Source organism: Homo sapiens, chromosome 3 (assembly GCF_000001405.40).
Source record: "Homo sapiens chromosome 3, GRCh38.p14 Primary Assembly".
Classification (NCBI taxonomy): Eukaryota; Metazoa; Chordata; class Mammalia; order Primates; family Hominidae; genus Homo; species Homo sapiens.
In genome coordinates, this window is record NC_000003.12 from 171,732,957 (window position 1) to 171,757,041 (window position 24,085).

Below are 24,085 nucleotides of genomic sequence, written 5' to 3' on the forward strand. Positions count from 1 at the left end.
TTTTCTCATGCTTCTCACTTTCACATGAAAAGACATGCCTTTAACAGGCATGACAAACCAATCAGATGGCAATCGCCCTACGCACCACAAAATCTTCAGGCATTCAACTCCACTCAACTGTTTTCATCACTTACTACTCAACAGTTACTCTTTGTAGCTAAAAAATGCTTTTTGGCATTATCCTGGAAACCTGAGAAGAGAAGAAGGTTGATTTCTAGATAATCTAGCCTATAGCAGGATTTCAAGTTCATTTAAATCTATTGTTATAGACATATTAAGTTCTACTCAACTTTTTAAAACAGCGTCACACCACTGTAAACTGGATCCTTGCTGTAAAATCAACTTTGTATTCACTTAATTTATTTTAATGCAAGGACGAATGTAGGTGTGGATACAATCACTTGTGTTATTAAAATGATCCAAAATTTAGCTGACAATTTACTATAGTGAAAATTACTCCAAACTTAAATCACTGACTAGTACTTACTGTGGCATGATAGTTTCTATACATGGGCATTTTTAGTATCTTTGTCAAGTAATCTTCCAGTTGTTTCTGTAATGCAAATATTTTAGATAAGTGTTAACATGGTCATATTTATTTTTAAAAATTAAACAGTAGTGACAATGATGAGATCATCATTTTCATCTTAACTTCTACAAGTTATTCAATTATTTATTAATATAATCATGGAGCAAGGAATCCTGAATAGCATTAAGGTGTTATTTCCATATTTCTCTTGAACTATTATTTAAATATCTTCTTACTGTTTAACTTTCCATATGCTTAGGTCTTCTATAAACTGCTGACAAGCCCTATTATATGTATATAGCTATTATAGCAGGACTTGCTATAAGTTGTTTTAAAGCATTTGTTGATATTACCAAAAACTTTCATTTTTTTTTCAATTCTAACACTGAACTTACTGAAAGATACACTACAAATTTTAAACAGCTTTTCAGGAAACAAAGGTGGAGAAAGGTTAAAAGACTTTCTAGTAGAATGTACTGATTTTAAATATGCTAAACTGTGTGTGGAGGCAGCAGGGGAGTAGAGGGATATAGGCTTGGGGCACTGGAGCAACATATGTCAATCATATTGACCATGATGTAAAATCCAGCATGCTTTTGCTGAATCACTAAGTGTCATTTTCAGTTGAATTCATACATGTGCACACAGTAAACCAAAACTATATAATTTTATATGTCTAGGTATCTTGGAAAATATTTGGTCCAGATGCCTACAAAGATTTTAAACAAGATGACAACTACAAAGGAGAAATCAAACATTCCCTCTGGAACATAAACATTTCAGATTACAAAACAGAACTGACAGAAATTAACAAACACTTGTTCATTTTCTAGTAAAAAAAATTAATTGTCCACACTCTGCAGCACCCATCTTGGAAGCAGAGCAGGCAGAAGTGCCCCTCCTCTGGAGTTTTCTGTCCCAGTGCTGTGCCTGTCTGTACTCCGTCAGACTCTTCTCAGGCCCTAACTGCTCCATCTATAGTTTAGGAATGAGATTTTACATATATTTAAGATGGGCTATTACAAACACGGAAACTTATGTATGGAAAATATTATTTTAAAAGAGTAGATCTCAAAACCCACAACAATGAGTTCAATCTTTGACTCACAATAAGCCCAAGGAGATTCTAGCAGGGAGAACAGCTTCTTCATAATGTCAAGGCCTAACCAAGAACGCTCTTCCTCTTCTGAGAAAATGCACTGTATGGCTTGGGGAAAGAAGGGACTGCCTAACTAGTTCCAGAAAAGCTAAACCAGCCTGGGGATCAATGAGTGGATGAGAGGAGTTGTAGCCAGGCCTACTTCACCCCTCAGTAGATGCTGTGTTTCTACAGCACTGCAAAATTAGGTTTAAAACCACAGAATAGTGAAGAAACTTACTCTTCTACCAAGGAATTGTTCTTCTCTTATCATGTTTTCAGATGAACGGGGCAAACTGGGCATCTCTCGAGGCTCCTCTCTGACGTTTTGCCTCCTAAACGTGTGTCTAAAACACAAACACACAGAATGCAAACACCTACTAGATTATTCTGTGACTATGACTTTAGTATGTCTTTCATGAGACGGCATATTTTTAAGAGACTATTTAATTGAAAATATCTACCAACAATAGACTAGTTAGCCGATATTGTGAATTAAATACACTTTTTATTTATTTATTTTAAAGATTGGATGTACTCTGTCACCCAGGATGGAGTGCAGTGGTACAATCATGCTCACTGCAGTTTTAAACTCTTGGGCTCAAGCAATCCTCCTGTTGTAGCCTCCTGAGTAGGTAGAACTACTAACTATCACCACGTGCCACCACGTCCAGCTAAATTTTTAATTTTTTTATAGGGAGGAGGTCTTGCTACGTTACACAGGCTAGTCTCAAACTCATGACCTCAACTGATCCTCCTGCCTCAGCCTCCCAAAGTGGTGAGATTACAGGTGTGAGCTACCACACCCAGACAAAATACACTTTCCATTCAACTTGTATACTGGCATAATTAATTCCAAAATGGTTACCTTCTAGTGGGAATGGGGATGCGGATAAAGGCTTTGTACTTGAGCAGCTCTCTGTGAAATTCTTGAAAATGCTTGAATTTCCTCTTAACTTGCCATTTAAATTCCCCATGTGTTAATTCAATAGTGTAAAGATTAATACTTGGTACCTACAGTGATACATAAAAATGTTTGATATTTTAGATAACAACAAAAATTCCAAAAGCTTTCAGTGAACAATATTTAACTAGTAACAGAGAAGTATACTTAAGTCCAGCCTACTTATTTTGTGTAAGTACTTAAGTAAATTTGTTTCAAAAGCAGCCAATTGCAGAAATAATATTCTCTAAATGTTCACTTGATGAATTACATAAGACAAACTTTCAATCACACGAGACGATTCCTACAAACGCTGTTCCTCCAACATATGTGCGTGTATGCATCCACGCACACACACACCTGAAATGAAGAACTAGGTGGAGGAGACAATGAGAAAGGCCCTAATTAGCCTTCAGGGGTCCAGTCCACAAATATAAGCCGTGCACCAGGCAATTGGCAGGGGTGAGACGTATTGTATACTAACAGCACCATCTTGGCTGTTTTTGTTCTTCAGAAATGGCACGACATGCCTTCTCTCCTTCTCTTGTGAAACACATTCCAAGGTCCAGCCTTGTCTATACCACCCACCCACCCTAAGGAACCACCAGTGTTAAGGAGGGGTGGGTGGAAAAAGTGACTGCAGTAATGAGTATACAGTGTATACTTGTATAATATAATACATATGTATTATTATTACTAAATCTTTGTAATAAACCTATAATGTAAGCACTGTTATACCCTTTATTCAGAAGAGGAAACAGGAACAGAGAGGTTAAGTCACTCATTCAAGATCACAAGGCAAAGATGAATTAAACCATGCAGTCTGCCTCTAGAGTCTGTCATTTACCCCCACATGTTATTATCTTTCAATCTAAATGCTGGCAGGTGAAATAAGAAAACAAAGCTCATCTTAGAGACATTTCTGAGGGAGTTGTGCTCAGTGGTGTATCAGGGAGACATGGACCCGAGTCACAGGGAAAGCCTAAACCAGAGGCTGACACCAAAATGAGTGTAAGCTGGGAGTCAGTACATGTGCAGGTAGGCTGGGACACAGCACCAGGCAAAACCACCCAGAAAGCAATGCAGCGCATGCCACCTCCAAAAGACAAGGAGGAAGGGAAGGCAAAGCATGCCCTGACAGCTGGTTATTAATCTGTGCTTCCCCTGAGGCAGGAGGCAGTGGTGGCCTTACTCTGCCATGGCTAGATCTTAGCCTGAAGGGACAAAGGTCACCACCCTGCAGCAATTGTCCTCCCCCGGAGACTTAACAACTGCAAAATCCAGCCAGGAACAGAGAAAAGTAGCTACCCTAACAGCTTCTTCTAGTCCAATCCATTTCAAAGGGCATAACTTTGATTGTTGAAGACATTTTACTCCAAAGCCTTTTCAGCGTTCAGTGAAATATCACGTGAATGAGGACTAAAGGATGGTTTTCTAGGAACCAATCAGAGAGGCAGAGTATGGCTGCAGAATTCTCTCAACAGTATTTTGAGGTAATGGCACTGGCCGATCCAGTATCCCGGCTTTTTTTCTTAAGAGCCAGGTAGCACCAACATTTTCATGCTAAATAAACATTAGGAAAGCTAAAATTCTTGTTGACTTATACCTGCCATGCAAGGTGGAATAAATATGCATCAAGAGTCCAAATGAAACAGAAAACTGGGGAGAGAAGAAGATTAAGAGAGGCACTTTGCAATTTATTAAACTGTTAATTTGCCTTACATGCCTTTTTAAAAGAAAGAGCTTTGGCTCAAATGAAGAAAGAGGAATATAAGAATGAAGATTAAATGGGAAGGAGGCAAAAACTTGACAGGTGAAAATGACTTGGAAATGATAGATACATAAAAACAAACAAACAAAAACCTACAAACATGATCATAGCTAAGAGGGAGGAAAATGAAAGGCTATGTACTAATTCACATATATTGACAAAAGAAAAAAGGGTGAGTCCATAAACGCTCTGACCCTTGTTGTAGATGTGAAGCGTTCCACTTCCAGAACTTGTGCTTTTATTGGACAGCCGGAGAGATACGTCTGTATATTAGGCTCCTTAAATCCTTGAGTGTTATAAATAGCAGAGAAAGGGATATACACTAAAAAAAAAAGTAAATAAAGTTAATGCAATATATGATTAGCATAACTTGTCTTTTACAGGCATTCTTTTAAGAATCACGTGTTAAAACAAGTAAGCCTCTTATAAAATGATCTGAGCCCGGTGTTACATCTGCAAGGAAAATCAATCATTTGCTGGTTACTTCAAATTTGTGGTCTTCCGACCAACCGAGATAAACTCTTTTCTTCCCCGCTCAGATCATCCGTCTTTACCTTCTTGTATCTTGGGATCGCTGGGAGACACGTCGTAGTCTACCTCCTCTCCCTCAAAGTGGAGTTCCCGCGTGTCCAGATTTTCTATGATATTACTCATGTCAGCAGCAATTTTCTGCAGTGCAGAGGTATTTACCCGTGGCTCGTTTTTCAGTGACATGTTAACTTTGGACAGAGTAAAAGCAAAGGGGCTAGGAAAGAAGAAAACGGTTACAAAGACTTAGCATTTTGATAACATAAAATGCTATTCCACAATTTGAATCCAGACTTAGATACAGCATATGGAAACAATTCAGCCTGCTCTGTGTGAGCCTCAGTTATCCAAAACAACCTTTTAGTTTACGTTCCTGTTTAACATTTAAAGGATTCCTAACTTGTAAATTAAAACAGAGTGCTTAATTGAAAACAAGAGAAAAAAAAAAGAAAAAAAAAAGCAACACCACATTGAATGCCAACATTTCTCTCATCCAACTTTATTAACTTGGATAAGTAATTCAAGGGAGATTGGTTTGGGAAAGCTTATTCAGAGAAAGAAATAGATTATTTGCTGTAATAAATACAGCTGAAGAAAGAATATCATGAAAAATAAGCAACTCTAAATATTTCCTAAAGAAAATTTAGAGTATTTCACATATTGAAATATATAGATTTAGAAATATTTTTATGATAGCATAATATTTCTACATTTTCTCTGTAGGTGATATCCCAAGCAAAGTGTATATTACCTCTTCAAGAAAGGAGATTTTGGCCATGACTTTACGTGAGGTATAATGACGTATGTGTCTTGAAAGGAAATTGATTAATATACCTATTCCGAAAGACATCTGAGGTGCTAGAATTATACTTCCCTCCTTTCTTTTTCTTTAAAGAAAACCAGTTCTATTTCATTCTGACATTTAATAACACAAGTCGTTGCACATCAGTACCCAGGGCAGAAGAGTTCACATGGATATTATTTTTCATGTAAAATATTGAGATTCAAGCTTTGCACACTGTCATCAGAGTTGGATGAAACATCTGTTTTGCCTGATGTAGAAATAATCTGTTAAAACCAGGCCCTAGAATGGAAGGACGCTCATACCAGTAACTCTTTGGCACATGTTCCTTTCTTACTGCAAATCACAAACACTGAGCATCCACCACATGTGAGATGAGATGAATGAAAACGTGAAGGTGAATAAGGCAGGCCCCTGTGATTAAGGAGCACCTGATATGGGTGAGGAAAATGAGGCATCTAACCCAAAGTTCACCCCTGGCCTCCTCCAAGGTCTTAGGCTTCTTGAGAATGAAATTTGCCCAGGGGAAGACACTTAGCTGGGTCTCTCCTGCAGGTGCTATCAAAAAGCTAAGTGGCTATATGGGAAATGCTAAGAAAGTCTCAGGCAAACTTACACAGCCCTTATTATAACTCAATGAGTCTCGAAAACCTATACTTTTATGTCTGGGAGAAAGAGACTGTGTTTGGAAATTCAAAAATGGGAGCGAAGGAGGGAGGTTCTGGTTTGGCCAGACATATAAAATTCATATATCTAAGTTCCCTGGAACTATGTAATCAATCATGTTTCTTTCTCTATGTTGCCTGTAAGAAAGCTTGGAGCCAAATTTGTGGCCTACTATATAGCCAAGTATAGGACTATCTCTTCCCTTCAACTTTCCCTCCCACTTCTAATTTATATCATAATAGTTAATAGTTACTAATGTTTAGAATGCACCTCGCTGGTGATAATTGTTTACATACATTGTCTCATTTGTCATTAATAATAAATCTGTGAGGGCTTGTTTTTTCTATTTTGAGCATGACAGGAGTTTGCCATCCCCTCTTTATAGATAAGGAAACTGAGGCAAAGAAAGACTAAGTAACTTGACCAATATTTTAAACAATCTGTCAAGGTCACACAGCTGGTAAGTGGTGAAGAAGGGACTGGAATTCAGGTTTCTCTAACCCAAAAGTTGATATTCTCAACCACGACCTTTATCTTGCTCTCTATTCTTTGTAGATATGTAAGTGCTTTGGAATAGATGGAACAGTTAATATAAATAAGTACCCTGGGGCAAGTCCATGTAAGAGCAAACCCTAACAGGAAGAATTGGAAATAATCTCCTGCAACTCGGTTACCACAGGATGAAGCCATTTAAATTCCCAGGGTCTTTGTTTCCTCTCTATAAATTGAGGAGGTTGAGCCATTTCATCTCTAGAGTTCTTTTAACACGAAAACCCTAACTGTAGATAAGAGATGCCATAAAAGTATTCAGCCTCCCTTATAATTTAATTACTTTAACCCTTTTCCTATCCCAAGAGATTAATCAGAGTAGTTTTGCATTTGGGTAAGAGAAGCAGGTAGCAGAATGTTTTCTAACCTGGATAACTTAATTAAGATCTATTCAGCCTCCATTGAGGAGCCATTGCCCTTGGTCAAAATCAAAATATGTATGTCCTTTCCTCTTCATTCAACAAACACTTAACAATGTGTCAGATTTTACTTTATTTAAAATACAAGGTAATGAAAAATTTAGAGGAAAAGAGACAAGGAAAAACAGATAAGAAATTACATCATATCATTGCAGCTTGTTAATTTTTAAAGACTTCAGATATTTTTTATTGATTAAACAGACTTATTAACTTTGCCAACTTTCTTAACATAGTGAAGAAAAACAAAGGTTACTCCAAATAACCTTCCTTTTGAACTATGTGCTGATCTTAAAAATGCCTGTTAATTTTAAGAAATACAAAGACTACAGTAATCTACACAGTGTTACAGAGCCAATGCACCAAGCTGAAATAAATATCTGACTTCAGATAGAGAAAAAAGAAGCATATTCACTTATGAAAAACTTGAAGAGTGAGACATGAAACAAAGAAAACATCTTATCATTTATCAAGTGTTTATTACATGCTAAACACAATTTTAGCACAGTTATGTTATTTAATACTCACAATGACCCTACCTGGTAGGTATGATTATTCTGAGAGATTGAGTTAAACAATCGTCCAAGGTCACTCAACTTGTGTCAGTGTTGAGTTTATAAAGCAGATTTTGTCTGGCTCTAAAATCTTATGGAGTTGGTTACAGAGGCCCATAATTACTTTTATTTTATGGGCTTGAATGTCTATAAATCTAAATTCATCTTTTATATGAAGTTTAAGTCCTGTGACAAGACATGTCCTCTACTTTAGTCACCATACCTTGGAAGGGATCATACTAATCCCACAGTCACCTCAATTATGAAAACAACATATCTCAACAGCTTCCTGAGTTTCTTCTTAGCCTTTTACTTTTATGGTTTATAATATTTTATAAGATCATGTGGAACTTCAATGGACCCAATGCATTTGCAGACTTGTTCATGCTTTTGTAAAGACTTTACTATTTAATAATAGACAATGAAAGAAGTGATTTGTCTATCTCTACCTTTACTTATGTCCATGGGCATTGTGTGCTGACTTTTCATCCAACCATTGTATTGTTGGTTTCATTCTTGAATATCAAGCTGCAAAACTATCTACGCTCCTATGTTGTCAAATCTTCATTTATCAGTCAATGTTTTCTTTCATCTAAAATAATCTATAATAGGGGGTGAGCAGCTGCCACAGGCACAGCCTATATTAGCCAGCAATGGGATAAGGGCTTCAGTGTTTACACTTGAGATAATGCAATTGATTTTGTTACCTCCTTATAAAATTATACTGCAAGATCATTATCTCTTTCAGTACCAAGAAGAGATGGTGCCCATGGAGAGATAAGAGCAGCTGTGTTTTATTTCTGTTTGCATTTGTATCTGGAAAGCAAATAAGGGTTTTTTTATTCTCGTTTTGAATTATAGAACTGAAAATCTTTGCAGGGAAGATTTAATGACCTCCAGTTATTCAGTGATGAAATCAGATAATTTTCTATTCTTGATTTTCAACAAGATTGGGAAGTAGAACATCAAAGAGAAGCAGATACTTTCCTTTTCAGATAACAAATAGATAAACATTGCCTTAGCCAAAATACAATAATAATATCAACTATAATTATTGATATTAACATAAATATGAACATTAGCCAGTATTTGCTAAATATGTACTACATGCCAGGTTTTGTACAAAGTGATTAATATCATGATCTCATTTAATCTTCACAATAACTTTAGGAGCTGGGTCCCATTGTTACTAGCATTTTTAATGAGTAGCTTAGAGAAGGTAGAAACTTGGCAGGGCCACACAGCTGGGAAGTGATGAAGCTGGTGATCAATTTGATCTGACCTCAAAGCCCAGCTACTTGCCAATCCAGAGGTGGGACTGGGGTGGGAGGAAAGATGGGCACTGGGAGACTTTTACAATTTTCTTCATATACTCTTAAAACTTTTTTTTAAAGTCAGGGTCTTGCTCTCTTGCCCAGGCTGCAGTACAGTGGTATGATCATAGCTCAATGCCGCCTTGAACTCCTGAGCTCAAGTGACCTGCCTGCCTCAGCCTCCAGAGTAACTAAGACTGTAGGCATGTGCCACTACGCATGGCTAAAAAGTAAAACAATTTTTAAAATAAAAACAACCCACATTCACTCTATGAACATAGTTACGATTTACTTATTGCTCCCTTTCTAACATAATATGCAAAAATTCATTTTTTTCTAGCTGCTATTGTACTTAACTGAGATAAATAAATGCAATGGATTCCTAAGCCAAAAATTATATCATAATGTATGAACGTAAAAAAAAATTATGATTAGATAGTTTAAACCCAAACTGAGTTATGGGGATATCTTGTTTTCCCATTTTTTCATGATGATGAAATAAATTAAAGGATCCATAATATATAACCTATGAAAACACATCATACAGCAACTCTATATCTGGAACTGACTTGATGCTCTCTGAGATATAAAAATTATAAATGTGGATTCAAGTACTAAACTCAATCTTTAGTAATATAATACGACTTGGATAAATATTTTTTGAGTTTAGCTGACTTTGAATAAAGTAAATGATATTAACATATTTTACATTCCAGACTATATATTTTGAGAAAATACATTTTAAATATCCTCTGATGTTTACTTGGATCTTTGACTTTTTTTTTAAAAGGAACATTGCTTCTGCAAATATTAATGGAAGGTGATTATGTACCTTGGACAGAAAATGAGATGTCAATGGTATAAGGGAAAGATCAAATGACCTAGAATTGTTCTATCCTTACTATGAGTGTAACCTGGGCAACTACCAGCCCCAGGGTTGCAGTGTCCCTCTGTGAAATGTTCCACTCATGCTTCCTCCCTTGGGAAGCTGTGAGGAGCAAATGTGATCATGGATACTCATCTACAGGCAAAAATCATCTTGGTTGCTAGTGTCATCTTTAATTCTATTAAAAGCTGACCCCTGAAAAAATAATCTTAGGAGAGTTTATCCTGCTTTTCATCTCTTATTTAGCTCCCAAAACTAACATACCATCTTGCAACTGTCTTTCTGGCTGGGCTACTCTAAGAATGGGTCTCTGTCATTCAACCAGTCCTGAAATTTCTGGACTGTACTACACTAAGTATAAGAGAAACCAGTAAGCCTTCCTCTGCAAAAACAATCATGGAAGGCATTAGCCAGTCAGACCCAGCTAATGCTTCCTTTTCCCTGCATGTCTTCCTGGCCTCATCCAACCTGCTCTCCCTGGCTGGTTATGCAATCCTTCCTTGGCATCCCCATAGCGCTCTCCACTTTTCTCACAACAGTGGCTCCTGCTCCCTTTGAGGTCCGGCATCCTTTGCAACTTTGATGAAATCTATGAACCCACAACCCCAGAAAAAAATGAGCACGGGCTCACACACAGCATTTTGCATATATTTTCATAGGTTCATGGTTGCACTCTCAAGACCTTTAAGTGAAGAAGCACGTCCACTGAGCCGCAATCATGTGCTGATGCACTGACACATCTGTCTTCCCACTAGACAGGGACACTCTTTGGGGAGGAGGGTTAGAGTCATGGGCATTCACCACAGACACCCAGCCGAGCACCCACTCAATACGTTTGTTGATTAAGTGACATAATCAATGAGCTGTCCATAGAGAAAGCTGTCAGCTCCAGGTTATTCAGTAAATGACACAAAGAGATATTATTTTCCCTCGCATACCACAGACACACTCAGATGTAGAAGCCTTCTGGTTGAAAAGCCCCTGAGAGGCGTGTAACATGTTAGAAACAGATTGGCTGCCAACGCAATCACAGCTAACACAGCAAACTGCTAGTGAAGCTTCCTGTGTGCCAGGCTTTTGCTGAGGGCTTTTCATGCATCATGTCAAATGATCCTCACAGCAACTTCATGAGGAGTACTGTCATCATTCCCACTTTGCAGACAGTCTGACAGAGGTGAAGAGTCAGAAAGTCAGTAAGTCAGCTCTCAGCCTGGCTCTGGCTGACCCAAAAGCCATGCACCTGCTCCTCTTCTGCCTTCCACCTGTGCCCGTGCCAAGAAAAGGAGATTCCAAGACATGGAATCACCCAGCCGCCTTTCCTGCCCATAACCTGTGAGTCCAGCTTGCTATTATGTCTATGGTTCTAAGAGTCAGAAGTCTGACTCCCAAACACAGCCCTTCCACTGAGCTCCACATCTAGTCTGATCTCAGGGAGCCCAGAGCCCAGCAATCTTCCACTTACTTATCCTTCTCTCCTGGTTTTATATCACACCCTCCACGTGGCCTAATGCTGACGCTGCTTTTATCCCTGAGATATACAGACTGGTGCTAAATACTTTGGACTCACTGTGCCCACAGAATAGAAGTTGAACTCACGTTCTCTTTTTTTCCCCTAGCTAAAAACAAAGAAACAAACAAAAACACATCTATAATGACATAAAGCAAAATGGTTACATAGCTCTTAAAATTTCCACAATTTCTGCCATTAGCTAATCTCAACTAGTAAGTATGTCATTAGGATACTTCTGATAATGATCTATCCCAGCCATTTTTAATAATAACCCAAGAAAACCAAGGCAGCTTTATGCCATGGAGGCAATAAGAAATCCCATAAGACATCATGGTTTCCAGAAAGGACAACCTTGTAGACAGCTGTTTCACTATCCAATACTGAATTAGGATATAACTCACACGTTTTGGGGCATTAAAAGCATTTCTTGATTCTCATGACTTTTCCTAAATTCTTTGACCTCTTTGGACGACCTTTTAAAAACATCCTCGGCATTTGTTCTCTGGCATGAGCTTTCTAATTTCCTTTAATATATCCTAGAGTTAAATATTTCCCTCTTTGCAGTGGTGTCAGCTTCTAGCTCATCTCAGTCATATCTTTGAATTCAAACTTTGCTTCCAGAGTCAAATACAAATGTTAAAGGAAATTGACATCTATTTCAAATGTTGATGGTTAAGAAAATATGATCTGTCATTTCCTGAGTGCCTGTACTGAAAGGCACGTTACAGGTATTACTTCCAATCCTCACAACAATCTCACTGGGGCCATGGGAGCTTACTGAGGCTGCACAGTTGTGAGTGGTGGGACTGGTCCCTGTATGCAGGCCTCCAGATGGGCTGGGTCCATCTGCATCCCTGGCCTCTGCTCAGTAAAGATCCCCAGTCACAACTGCTCTCACTTCTTCTCCTAATGCCACCAACAATCTCAGCCTCCTTCTGGGCAAGAGCAGGGCTTTGGCACAGCCTCCATGGCATGCAGCACAGCACGTGGGCTCCACTGACCTCCAACCAGACCCTCAGAGGCACTGGCACATCCAGATGTTTTTGGATTCAGTTGAAGTGCTGCACCAGGGACGTGTTCTCTTGCTTCCTCAGGAGTTGTACATCAGGGGGGTAAGAGGAGTACAGGGAAGCAAGTCACACAGCGTGTGATACTGAGAGGTGACAACGTGCTAGCAGTCCTCACTCGCTCTTGGCACCTCCTCAGGCCATGGCGTCCACGCTGGCTGCGCTTGAGGAGCCCTTCAGCCCACCGCTGCACTGTGGGAGCCCCTCTCTGGGCTGGCGGAGGCCAGAGCCAACTCCTTCTGCTTGCAGGGAGGTGTGGAGGGAGAGACGCCAGTGGGAACCAGGCTGCCTGCTGCACTCACAGGCCAGCGCGAGTTCTGGGTGGGCGTGGGCTCGGCAAGTCCCGCACTCAGAGCGGCTGGCGCCACCGGCCCCGGGCAGTGAGGGGCTTAGCACCGGGCAAGCAGTTGCGGAGGGTACGCCGGGTCCCCCAGCACTGCCGGCCCGCCCCACTGCGCTTGAATTCTCACTGGGCCTCAGCCGCCTCCCCGCGGGGCAGAGCTTGGGACCTGCAGCCTGCCATGCCCGAGCCCCTCCCCTCCGCGGGCTCCCGCACAGCCGGAGCCTCCACGGGCACCACCCCCTGCTCCACAGCACCTGGTACCATTGACTGCCCAAGAGCTGAGGAGTGCAGGCTCGCAGCGCGGGACTGGCGGGCAGCTCAGCCTGCAGCCTGGGCACGGGATCCACTAGGCAAAGCCAGCTGGGCTCCTAAGTTGGGTGGTGACTTGGAGAACATTTATGTCTAGCTGGAGGATCCTATATGCACCAATCAGCACTCTGTGTCTAGCTAAAGGTTTGTAAACGCACCAATCAGTGCTCTGTGTCCAGCTAATCTGGTGGGGACTTGGAGAACTTTTATGTCCAGCTGGAGGATTGTAAATACAACAATCAGCACTCTGTGTCTAGCTCAAGGTCTGTAAACACACCAATCAGCACCCTGTGTCTAGCTCAAGGTTTGTAAATACACCAGTCAGTGCTCTGTGTCTAGCTAATCTAGTGGGGACTTGGAGAACCTTTATGTCTAGCTAAAGGATTGAAAATACACCAATCAGCACTCTGTGTCTAGCTCAAGGTTTGTAAATGCACCAATCAGCACCCTGTCAAAATGGACCAATCAGTTCTCTGTAAAATGGACCAATCAGCTCTCTGTAAAATGGACGAATCAGCAGAATGTGGGTGGGCCCAGATAAGGCAATAAAAGCAGGCTGCCCAAGACAGCACTGGCAACCAGCTGGGGCCCCCTTCAATACGGTGGAAGGTTTGTTCTTTTGCTCTTTGCAATAAATCTTGCTGCTGCTGTTTAGGCTTTGGGTCTGCACTGCTTTTATTAGCTGTAACACTCATGGCAAAGGTCTGCAGTTTTACTTCTCAGGCCAGCAAGACCACGAACCCACCCGGAGAAATGAACAACTCCAGACGCGCCACTTTAAGAGCTGTGGCACTCAAGGAGCAGGTCTGCAGCTTCACTCCTGAGGCCAGCGAGACCACGAACCCACCAGAAGGAAGAAACTCCAAGCACATCAGAAGGAACAAACTCCGGACACACCATCTTTAAGAACTGTAACACTTACCACAAGGGTCTGCGGCTTCATTCGTGAAGTCAGTGCAGACCAAGAACCCACCAATTTCAGACACAATACTAGGGCAGGTTAAGTTGCTGGCAGATGCATGCCTCTCCCCTCTCCTTTTGGCCTTGGCTGTGCTGAGCACACTGATACAAAACAGTCGATCTGGATGATGTTCTATGTGATGGAGCAACTGGCTGCTTTTTGTGGGAAGCTATGGCCAGCCAGGAAATGACTGCTTTGCCTTCTTCCCTGCCTCTCTTCTCTTCCTCTCTTTTTTTTTTTTTTCTCCTCTAGAATTATAACTACTCCCATTCAACCCTACTATGCAACCTTAGAGGCTCTATACAGGAAACTTGAGCTAGGATAGTGTTAGAACCAGGATTCCAAAGCCCATGTTTTGTTCATTGTTTTTTTCTGAACCATCCTGGCTCCTGCAGAAATTCATTTATGCTGAATTTAACAGTAATTTTTAAAAAGCAGACTTGCATCATGTTTACTATGTACCAGGCAGTGATCCAGGTGGTTTGCATGCATTAACTCAATCTGTCCTTACAACAGACCTATGAAGTAACTGCTGTTCTTAGCCCCTTTTAAGCAAGGAAACTGAAGGCACAGACAGGTAAGTGACTGTAAGGGTCACCCAACAATCTGATCTAATTTGCTATTATTTCTGCCTTGATTAACTTGGGCAAAGTAACTTTAGGTGGTGCTCAACTTCCTCACCTAAAAACTGAAAATTAAAATATCTGTTTTACATGAATATGAAGTTGTCTGTGTTTAGGACTTTACAATAGATAGATTAAAATTTTAAAAACTCCTCTCTCAACATTACTAAATGTTAGAAAAACAACATATTCTAAGTGACATCACCCAGAAGACAAAAACTAGCCCAAATGCCAAGGGCATTTAGATGAGGATTCCGAGTCAACGTCTAAGAAGATTTATTCCTGCCCCTGTAAATGACAAGGCACATTATAAAGATTTGTATTTGAAGAGAAAATATGGGAGGATTACTCCTGACTTCAAAGCCTGTTAATAAGTTTATTACGTGTAAGTCAGACTTTGTACAACCGCTGGATTGACTTAAGTCAAAGGGAAAATTCTTCTTTATAAAAGAAAGGTAGTTAATATTGCTAAAAACTGTGGTCAGACTTCTAAAATTAACATCCTTGGATGTTAAATGAATACTCAGTTTCTTCATGGCCAAGAACGGAATATTCATGCATTCCTTTCTTTCACTTCCCTTCAAAGCAACAGGGAAGCAACCTCTGTTGGTGTGAGTTTTGGCAGTACAGAGAGTGTTTTCAATGATAACCCATGAATTTCACGTATGAGAAGAATGGATCTGGCAAACTCACATTGTAATCTCCTCCAAACACTCTCCAGTGCTGATTAGCTTTTGAATTCTGTCACAACTGCTAGTAGACATAGCACAATTTCAATTTTTTGGCCATCTATGTAATTACTAAAAATGTTTGTTGAGGCAGTACAGTACCATGGTAGATATGTGATTTTGAGTGAAGTAACTTGAAATATGACTCTCCTTATGGTGAAACAAGTTATTTCTGTCTTTCTGTGTCTCAGATTCCTAATGTGTAAAATGGAAGTAATATTGCGTGGCTTAGAGCTTGGGCTATACTAGATGCTAAAATAATGTTAGTTGTTCCTATGCCCCTAGTTATTCTAAGAGCTATCAGTAAGACCCCTGCCCAAAGTCCATATATTCCTACCTGAATCATGTCCCCCCTAAGCACAGGAACTAGCAGCAACAGTTGGATTTGGGAATGGTCTGATGTTGTCCACTATAGAAAACACTGCTACAAACTTCTGGAAACAAAATGAATCAAGCTAATACATATGCTCCATTTCTACTGAAAACACAGAATTGTTAGGTAAATTGTAATTGTTTTAAGAAAAGATTTATTCAAGGTTAACAGCAGTGGCAGCAGCAACAAAAACAATAATGAAGAAAAAACCTACAGTGTCTAAGAATGAAGAAACTAAAGTCTGATGGGCACACTGGAACTGAAGCTGTAGGGCCCAAAGGGTTCTGGATCTCAGATAAGCATCTGAGATTACAGTTCTGTTGCCTCACATAAATTTTAGGAGATAAGATCTCAGAATCATGGGAGGCAGCAGCCTGGAAGTGACACTCTTACAAAAAAACCCAGAGCTTCAGCGAGCTACACTGCCTATTTAAAAGGGACTAAATAACCACACCCAGCATCCCTGGGAAGAAACTACATGGAACTGTGGTTAACTACAAAATGAAAAACTGTACATAAAAATTATCCAAGATCACAATGTCTAGCTTTCAGTAATTGAGGTAGTGCTTTTATTAGATTTACCATCCCACAGATAATTACATATTCTGGAATATATATATGAAACTGCAAGGAAACCTACATTTGGAAGAAAGAAACAGCATTGTTTTTGTATAAGGGCTGGTCCCAGACCATGTCAACTTGAGTGACTAAAACTCGGATAGAAAGTCCATAGATTTCCAGCTTGAAGAAACAAAGAACAAACTTCACAGCAATCACAGCAGCTGAAAAGTGAGGCCAGAAATCCTAGAAAGGAGAGAGCCACAGAGAGGGAGACAGCCCCAAATTTTGCATAGGCTGACGCTTGAACTACATAGGCATGGGATACATTCCAATGCAACTCAGCTAGTACTAAAATGACTTTAACAGATATTTCTGCTACTGCCCACCACAGGACAGATGGGGTTTGGTGTTTGAGTCCAAGCAAGTTAAATGACTGGAAAACAAAACTAAACTCAACAAAAAATCCCAACTCTGGAAAGAAGTATAAAGGAATTCAGAGTCTCTACAACATGTCAGTCACAATGTCACCTAAAACTACTACACATAGAAGAAACGGAAAGATGTGCTCCATTGTGAAGAGTAGAGACCAATCCTGACATGTTGAAATTAGCTGAGAAGGATTATTTAAAGTGACTATTATAATAATGCTCAAGGATGTAAAGGAAAATATGGTTTTAGTGAACGAATAAGTAGAAAATCTCACCAGAGAAAAGAAAAAATTTGCAGGATGGGCTTAACAGCAGAATAGCAATGACAGAAGAAAGGGTCAATAAACCTGAAGACAACAATAGAAATTATCCAATCTGAAGGACAGACAGAGGGGAAAAAAGATTTTTAAAGAAATGAACAGAGCCTTAGTATTGTATGTGATAATACTTTAAAAATCTAACAAGCATATAATTTGAATCCCAGAAAGATAGGGTAAAGAGAAAATGGGGCAGAAAAAAAAATGTGTAAAGAAATAATGATAAAAAATTCATTAAATTTGGTGAAAGAAATAAATTTACAGGTTGAAGAAGTTCAGCGGATCCCAAACAGGAATAAATGCAAAGAAAATTACACCGAGGTACATTAAAGTCAAGCTGCTGTCATGTAAAGAAAAAAGACAATTTTGAAAGCAGCCAGAGAAAAATAGCTTGTGTTCAGGAGAACCACACTAATGACGATAAACTTCTCATTAGAAATAAATGGAGGCTATAAGATTGAAACAACATCCTAAAGCTTAATTAATGTGGTTGAATTAGTAAACAAAGGTTGCTTTTCCTCAAAGGAAATCTACTGATTCAAATTCCTAAGAATTTCTTACAGAACCTGACAATATGATCCTGGAATCTGTAACAGAGAAATTATAATAGGTAGATAAGACTTGCCCTATCAGGTAGATCAATAATTATTACGAACCTGAAAGAAATAAAATTTTACATTATTGGCACAGAAATAGATGAACTGAACCAAGTAGGGACCCCCCCCAAAACAAACCTATTCAAATATGAGTTCTTGGCATATGACAAAAGTGAAATGAAAAAAATAATGGAGAAAAATAAACTGTTTAATAAACAATGCTGAGACTATTGGCAATTCAGAGAAATATAAAATAAAATTAGTTCTCTACCTCAAAGCTCCAATAAGAATAGTTTCCATATTATAGTCCCAAATATGAACAACAAATATTTTTAGGATTAAAGAGCTAAACATGAACTACAAACATGTAAACATTTGAAATATAGAAGAATGTTCTTAAGACCTTAGAGTCAGAAAGGAATAAAAAGCACAAACCATAAAGGAAAAGCTATAAATTCAACTACTCTAAAGTTTAAAACGTTCATTGAACAAATGGGAAAATTACACACACACACACAAAATTTGTAAGAACACCAGATTGGGAGAAGACATAAGTAGAATGTATAAAGAACTCCTATAAAAACATAAGAAAAATGTAAAAAATACAAAGAACAAGGGCCAGGGGCATATACAGGTAACCCATAGGAGATCAATTCTAAATTGTCAATAAAACTTTAAACATGCTCAACCTTTCCAGTAATCAGGGAAGTCGTATTGAAACAATGAGATACTATTTTACATTCATTGGATCGGAAAATTTTTCCAAGTATAAAATTACAATGTATTGGTGAGGAAATGGAACTCTCATGCACTGCTGTGAATTAAAATAACCTTTTAGAAAGTAATTTCATGGCCAAGCGCGGTGGCTCACGCCTGTAATCCCAGCACTTTGGAAAGCCAAGACAGGCGGATCACGAGGTCAGGAGATCGAGACCATCCTGGCTAACACGGTGAAACCCCATCTCTACTAAAACTACAAAAAATTAGCCGGGCATGGTGATGGGCGCCTGTAGTGCTAGCTACTCTTTGGGAAGCTGGGGCAGGAGAATGGTATGAACCTGGGAGGTGGAGCTTGCAGTGAGCCGAGATCGCGCCACTGTACTCCAGCCTGGGCGACAGAGCGAGACTCCGTCTCAAAAAAAAAAAAAAAGAAAGAAAGAAAATTAGACAACTGAAAATATCCATCTATCAGAGAATAGGTAAATGAATGTTTTAAATGGAATGCTATACAGCAGAGAAAATAAGTGCATTAGAACTACATGTATCAACATGAATAAATGTCAATACAAAGTTTGGTGGGAAAAATCCAGCTTACAGTTTTTGTTTAGGATTTAAAAACATAGAACAATCCTGTTAGGTTGTCTATGGATAAATATATATGGAAGTATGACATAAAAACTAATTGAGGAAATGATACACAATAACTTTAGAAGAGTGGTAACCTTTAGCAAGAGAGGTGGGAGGAGAACGCAGTTAGCAAGGAGTCCAAAAGGGACTCAGTGAATTTTTATTTCTGTGGTCTCTATCATACAAATCTGACATTTTTTCTGGCTAAACCGAAGTTATCTATTTGCAGCTCTTTCCCTCTTGCTGAGCTGTAAGCTCTTTGAGAACTCAGAATGACAATAAATGAAACTTGTGGCCAGACTTCCCAGTTACATCTCCATGGCAAACATTAATCTGTGATCACAGCCTACTTTCTCTGAGCCTGCACAGACCTCCTAGTTCTTCTTACCCCACACTTCAGAGGCTTTAATATCTTGCCATCTCTGAAAGAAATCAAATCTGATCTCTCTCATATCTTTAGTATTTGTTGAGAAGAAATGAATTAAATGAGGGAAATGAATTACATAACCAGTGGGCAGTATTTTACTATATGTGTGTATGTGTCTTAGAAAGAATAGAAATTAATGCAACTCAATTCAATTCAAAACCTGTATGGTGCACATATTTGGTGGCAGACACTGAGTAAGAACTGAGCATACAACTTTTAGACTGAAGAAACCAATGAATACAAAACCTGGTCTGTAATGCCTGGCACACATGATGATCTAGGCATTCATTTGGTCCAACCTCTTCAATGCACTGAGAAGACAGAGGCTCAGAAGCATACAGACAAAGGATTGATGAGACTAGAACTCACACCTCTGTTGCACTCTGCTTGCCCATACAAGCCTGTTTCAGGGGTGGATTATTTCTTTATAATGCAGCTTTGAACCATGTCTGAAATGTGTAAGAAAGACAACCAGATGGGCTGGATAAACTGCTTTTGTCTGAGCTGCAGCCAGACTCTGCTCAGTGGGTGTGGACAGGCTGCCAGCCTCACTGAGAAAGAACTAGTTTGGTCTTTGTTCAACCGCTGCTCCTATGCATAGTACTAAGGAACAGAGATATTCTCAGGACACCTGAATCCTGTGACGACATTCCCAAGGGTCAGAAGCACATGGGTTGCATCAATACTAACAAGAAATGGCAAGTTAAAAGGCAGGCTGCCAAACTTTGACGAACTGGAAAGAGAGTCGGTGTGCACCAGCCAGACTGATAAGCCACCTTGCTTTCCAGTGCAGCCGCTTTGCAGGGCTTCTTAAGCAGCTTCTCAGGATGACAGTAGTTCACTCAATGGATATTTATTGAACACCTTCTATGTGCTGAGCACCATGCTAGGCACTGAGAATATAAAATAACCTCATGCATTTCACTTTACCATGACAAGGGAGGCTTTAAGGGCAGAATCTCTCAATGTCCCTCACCTTATTTGTGATTTTGACTCCTTTCCCACCAAAACATTGGAAGAAGACCCCTCCTCTGCCTCTCCTGTCTCCCACCTTTGCTTGTTTCCAACCGTCCTCTCATTATTTCATCAGTCAACTCCCTCATCAACTTCTCCTGATCCTGTGACTTTCCCCTATTACCACTTAAAACATTCTCAAGTATCTCAATTACACATATGTTCCCTTCTACCGCTTCTCTCTCCCTGTGATTCATAGTTGAGGTTTTTGTATTACGTTTCCCTGCTCAGCTGGACTGAACCAAACATGCTCCATGCTCTCCAAACTCAGCCTTTCAATAGGCTGCTCCGTCTGCAGCTTTGCGTTCCTCCAACCCCATCTTTGCCTGATTGATTCCTATCATCCATTGGGACTCATATCAGGTGTCACCTCTTCCAGAAAGCCTCCCCTGACAGCCCAGGCTGGTTTAGGTGCCTTTTCTCTCAGTGTTTCTATGGCATCCAAGTGAGTTCATTGAGTACACTCCTTTCCACTTGGTCTCTGACTCCTCTGGAAGACTGAGTTTTCTGAAGGGAGAGGCTGTCTCTAAATCCTGAGTCACTGGTGTCTATTGGGTTCTCAGTCACTGTTTCTGAATGAATCAAATGGGAATGAATGAATATGAATAAGACTTAGAACTGCTCACAGTTTGGGCAGCACAAGGAACATGTGTGTAATGCTTTCTGGGTTACAAAGCATTCTGTACACATATCTCTTAATTTTCCTAATAATCCTACAGGGGAAACTATTATTTTTAACCTTCTTTTCATTGAAGAAGTAATAACTCAAAGTGATTAAGGTCATACTGTGAAACTGTTGGTCTGAGACTCAGTCCTGACCCCTCAACTTCATGTTCCCTGCTTTTTCCATCTCCTGTAAGTTACTGCCTTCATATTCAGATGTATACAATTCTCCATAAACTATCCTCATCAAAATCTCATATCTGGAAACCAGTCTTCTCACCTTGTGTCTAACCAAACTACTTATTAGAATTGAAGATAAGTCAATTCTGGCTAATTTTAACAAAAGAAGTAAAGCTAGAAAAGGAAATAATACAACCAGAACAATAGAGATAACACTTCCATTTTTCTCCAGTGTGATGGATGAACATAAATATTAGTGATATTACATCCTTCTTCCAAGTGGCAAAACATCTCAAATGTAGGGCTTATGACAAAATGACCAGAGATTTGCCCTGTGACTCGCTCCTTATTAAAACCAGGAAATCTCCATCCTATCTGGTGAGACAGCTGTGCAGGCAACTTTTATCCAAGGTCACCCTTGAGACTCAGCTACTACTATATCTCCAACAAGGTGTTAACTCGCCACCAGCTCCTTCTAGACCTCACACCCTGTTCATCCAACTGAGAGCATGCAGTCCATCTCTGACTCTTCATTTGCCCAAAAATCTCTGCTTGTATGTCCTTCTTTTGCAGTCATCTGGAGAAATTCAATCCTGGGCCACACGAACTATCTGCCTTCTTGGCACTTACCCCAAGGCTTCTAAACAGGGGCTGCAGAAACAGCACTCAACTACATAGACTGGTATTTATGGGGCTTTCCAGCTATGTCTCTCACCCCCTTTTCAAAGTCAACTTCCTAAGAAAGTTGTCTACTTCCTCCTTCTAGTTCATCCCTCCTCCTTCTTTAACTTGCTGCCACTGGCCTCCATTTGTACACTCCACCAAACAGCTCTCTCCAAAGTTCATAACCACCTGCATATTCCAGAATACGAAGGACACTTCCCCATTCTTATCTCACTTAATCTTTCTGTTGCACAACCCTTGACTGCATCCTTCTTGAGGGTCTCTTTCCTCAGCTTACATGTTCTCACACTCCTCTAGTTTTCCTCCTCCCTCTCTGCCAACTGAGATGAAGTCTTCTTTGATGCTGTTCTTCTTGTGCTCAAAATTTACATGCTAATATTATTCAGGGTCCCAGGATTATTCTTTCTCACTCTTCTCAGGGTGATCTCATCCACTCTAATGGTTAAAATACATGCTGATGTTTCCTTTACTCAGGGATACCACTAGTGAATACATTCCTTTCCTCTTGGCTTCTGTCTCCCCTAAAAGACTGGGAGCTCCCTGAAGAGAGAGGCCATCTCTGTATTGCCCATCACTAGCATCTACTGGGCTCTCAGTAACTGTTTCCAACTGCGATCCTTGTCCTGATCTTCAGACCTATCTATCCAGCTGCCTAGGAACTTCCCCACTGGGTGATCCCATAGAGCATCTCAATATGCTCAAAACAGAATTCATCATCTTCTAACCACAAAACACTCCCTCTTCCTATGTTTTCTTCTTGAAGAAAATTGGAAACATCATCTACCCAGCTGCATAAACCAGAATCCTGGAACTCATCCTTAGCAATTCTCTTTCCTAACTCTCTATATCCAATCAATTAATAAATCCAGCCAAATTCTAAATATCTCTCCCATCTGACCACTGTATTTTAACTCCATAACCATGATATGTTTGAAGAAATGAAAAAGGTGCAGTGTACCTGGACATAGAGTACAAGGCAGGTGATGTTAAGGCATTTAGACTTTACCTTTCCACCCCCTTCTGCCAGAGTGGTCTTGATGCTGTGGTCCTAGAGCTAAAAAGTCTTCAGTAAAAATAAGTTTGGGCTGCCCCAAATATGATTTTGTAGGATAAGTAACATCACTTTTACTTGGTTATTTTTAATTACCCAGCTAAACTATGGTATTCTATCACAAATTTATATTCTGCTAAACAGAAAACCAGCTCTCTATAAAGTTGCTACAGGGAACAATGATTTCCAGATGAGTTTCAGCTGTGTAAAGTAATGCCTTAATGGGACCACCAGAATTCTGTCTGTCACATTTAAGAAGCAATGCAATATTTAAGGTAAACAAGCTAAACTGGATGTGTGTCGACGGTGAGGTTCGGGGGGAAGAAAGGATGGAAGGGGTAATGAAGAACATGCCAGGCTTAAGAATGCATAGGCATAGTTGACAGATTATTGATTCACCATTAAAATGGCATTAATATAAAGTGAATAAAAACATACGATGTAATCAGGATGTGCCTTAAGTTAGTAGCTGTTAAAAAGTCATTGTTATGGTACTTACATCTGCCCAAAACTATAAATAGTGGCAAAATTCATTAAAGAAATGTTAATACAGAGGAACTAAAGCATACACAGTAGAAAGAGAAGGGAACAACGTGCTAGCAAAAATCTGCAAAGACAACTCCGTCAATACACTAAAAATCTTGAATTGTTCACTTTCAGTGGGTGAATTTCATGGTTTATAAATTATATCCCAATAAAGATTTTTTTAAAATCAGCAATGGCATAGGAATAATGACCTGAGTTGTAAAAATCAATCAATATTCAAAGAAAGGGCAGGTAATTTTCCTTGATCCCATGGCAGAAAAAC

The 24,085-nt window shown here is 39.7% G+C and overlaps 1 protein-coding gene across 9 annotated transcripts in view; it reads right to left on the minus strand.

Moving 5' to 3' along the window:
- The window catches only part of PLD1 (phospholipase D1), a 210,080-nt gene that overhangs the window by 132,553 nt on the left and 53,442 nt on the right, over nt 1-24,085 (minus strand). For all 9 annotated transcript variants that reach the window (XR_007095693.1, NM_001130081.3, NM_002662.5 and 6 more), the window contains exons 2-6: nt 4,936-5,126; nt 4,576-4,703; nt 2,536-2,681; nt 1,909-2,014; nt 488-553 (exon numbers count right to left, since the gene is read on the minus strand). Coding sequence is in view for 8 of the 9 variants with exons in the window: in NM_001130081.3 (NP_001123553.1) it covers nt 488-553; nt 1,909-2,014; nt 2,536-2,681; nt 4,576-4,703; nt 4,936-5,095 (606 nt within the window). In the remaining variant the exon portion in view is untranslated. The remainder of the gene's footprint in view (nt 1-487; nt 554-1,908; nt 2,015-2,535; nt 2,682-4,575; nt 4,704-4,935; nt 5,127-24,085) is intronic.